A 1,603-nucleotide genomic window follows, 5' to 3' on the forward strand; every position below is an offset into this window, starting at 1 on the left:
ACCCAAAATATCTGAGACAGGTCTCAGTCAATTTAGAAAGTTTATTTTGCCAGGCGGGGTATAGTGGATCACGCCTGTAGTCCCAGCACTTTGGGAGGCCAGGATCACCTGAGGTCAGCAGTTTGAGACCAGCCTGGCCAACATGGTAAAACCCTGTCTCTAATAAAACTACAAAAATTATCTGGGCATGGTGGCGTGTGCCTGTAGTCCCAGCTACTCGGGAGGCTGAGGCAGGAGAATCGCTTGAACCCGGGAGGCAGAGGTTGCAGTGAGCCGAGATGGTGCCACTGCACTCTAGCCTAGTGACAGAGTGAGACTCTATCTCAAACAAAAAAAAAAGGAAGTTTATTTTGCCAAGGTTAAGGACATGCCCATGTGACACAGCCTTAGGAGGTCATGACAACAGGTGGTTAAGCTACAGCTTGCTTTTATACATTTTAGGAAGACATAATATGTCAATCAATACATATAAGCTGTACATTGGTTCCATCTGGAAGGGCGGGGCAACTTGAAGTGGGAGTGGGGGCTTCCAGGTCATGGGTAGATTTAAACATATTCCGATTGGCAATTGGATGACAAAGTTATTATCAGTAGAACGGACTGTGTGGGTTAAGGGGTTGTAGAGACCAGGGTTCTTATTATGCAGATGGAGCCTCCAGGTAGCAGGCTTCAGAAAAAATAGATAGTGAATGTTTCTTAACAGACTTACGGTCTGTGTTGATGTTGATGCTGGAGGGGTATAATGAGGCATGTCCAACCCCCGTTTCCTGTCCCAGCCTGAACCAGTCTTTCGGGTTAGATTTTAGAGTGCCCTGGCAGAGGAGGAAGTTCATTCAGGTGGTTGCAGGGGGAGGGGTCCTTCAAACTTTATTTTTGGTTTACACCTTCTAAATTATTGAAAATACTAATATAGTCATCCCTTGCTATACATGGGGGATTGGTTTCTGGACTCCTGGGTATGCCAAAATCCACGCATACTCAAGTCTGGAAGTCGACCCACAGAACCCACATGTAGGAAAAGTCCACCCCGTCTACATTAAGGTTTTGCATTCAGTGAATACTGTATTTTCCATCTGTGTTTGGTTGAAAAAATTCTGTGTATAGATGGGCCCATGCAGTTCAAACTCTTGTTGTTCAAGGGTCAATTGTAGTATTACTAGGTTTCCTATTTGTCTCCTATATATCATCAAACACTAAGCTTGACGGTTTATTTTTCCCACTTACTGTAGGCAATTTTAGGCAGCTTCATTTGACTCCCTGCTGTATTAGTGATCTCCAGAGAACAGAATCAATAGGTGATACGTCTCTATATCAATCTACCTACCTACCTTCCTATAGAGAGATTTATTATAAGGGATTGGCTTCAGTAATTATGGAGGCAGAGAAGTCCCACAGCCTGCTTTCTGCAAGCTGGAGACCCAGAAAAGCAAGTGGTGTAATGCATTCGAGTCTGAATGCTTGAGAACCAGGGGACACAATGGGGTAAGTCCCAGTCCAAGGGTAAGACAAAGCCAATGCCCCAACACAAGTAGGCAGGCAGGAAGGGGGCACATCCTCCCTTCTTCCTCGGTTTGGTCTATTCAGGCCCTTGATGGGTTTGAGG

The 1,603-nt window shown here is 45.3% G+C and overlaps 1 annotated feature.

The window, feature by feature from the left end:
• Nucleotides 773-832: a silencer, noted in NCBI's record as "silent region_20014". NCBI's record gives its function as "represses an Ori minimal core promoter by ATAC-STARR-seq in GM12878 lymphoblastoid cells {active_cell/tissue: GM12878}" and the evidence as "EXISTENCE:reporter gene assay evidence [ECO:0000049][PMID:35858748]".

The sequence above is a fragment of the Homo sapiens genome, chromosome 9 (assembly GCF_000001405.40).
Source record: "Homo sapiens chromosome 9, GRCh38.p14 Primary Assembly".
NCBI lineage: Eukaryota > Metazoa > Chordata > Mammalia > Primates > Hominidae > Homo > Homo sapiens.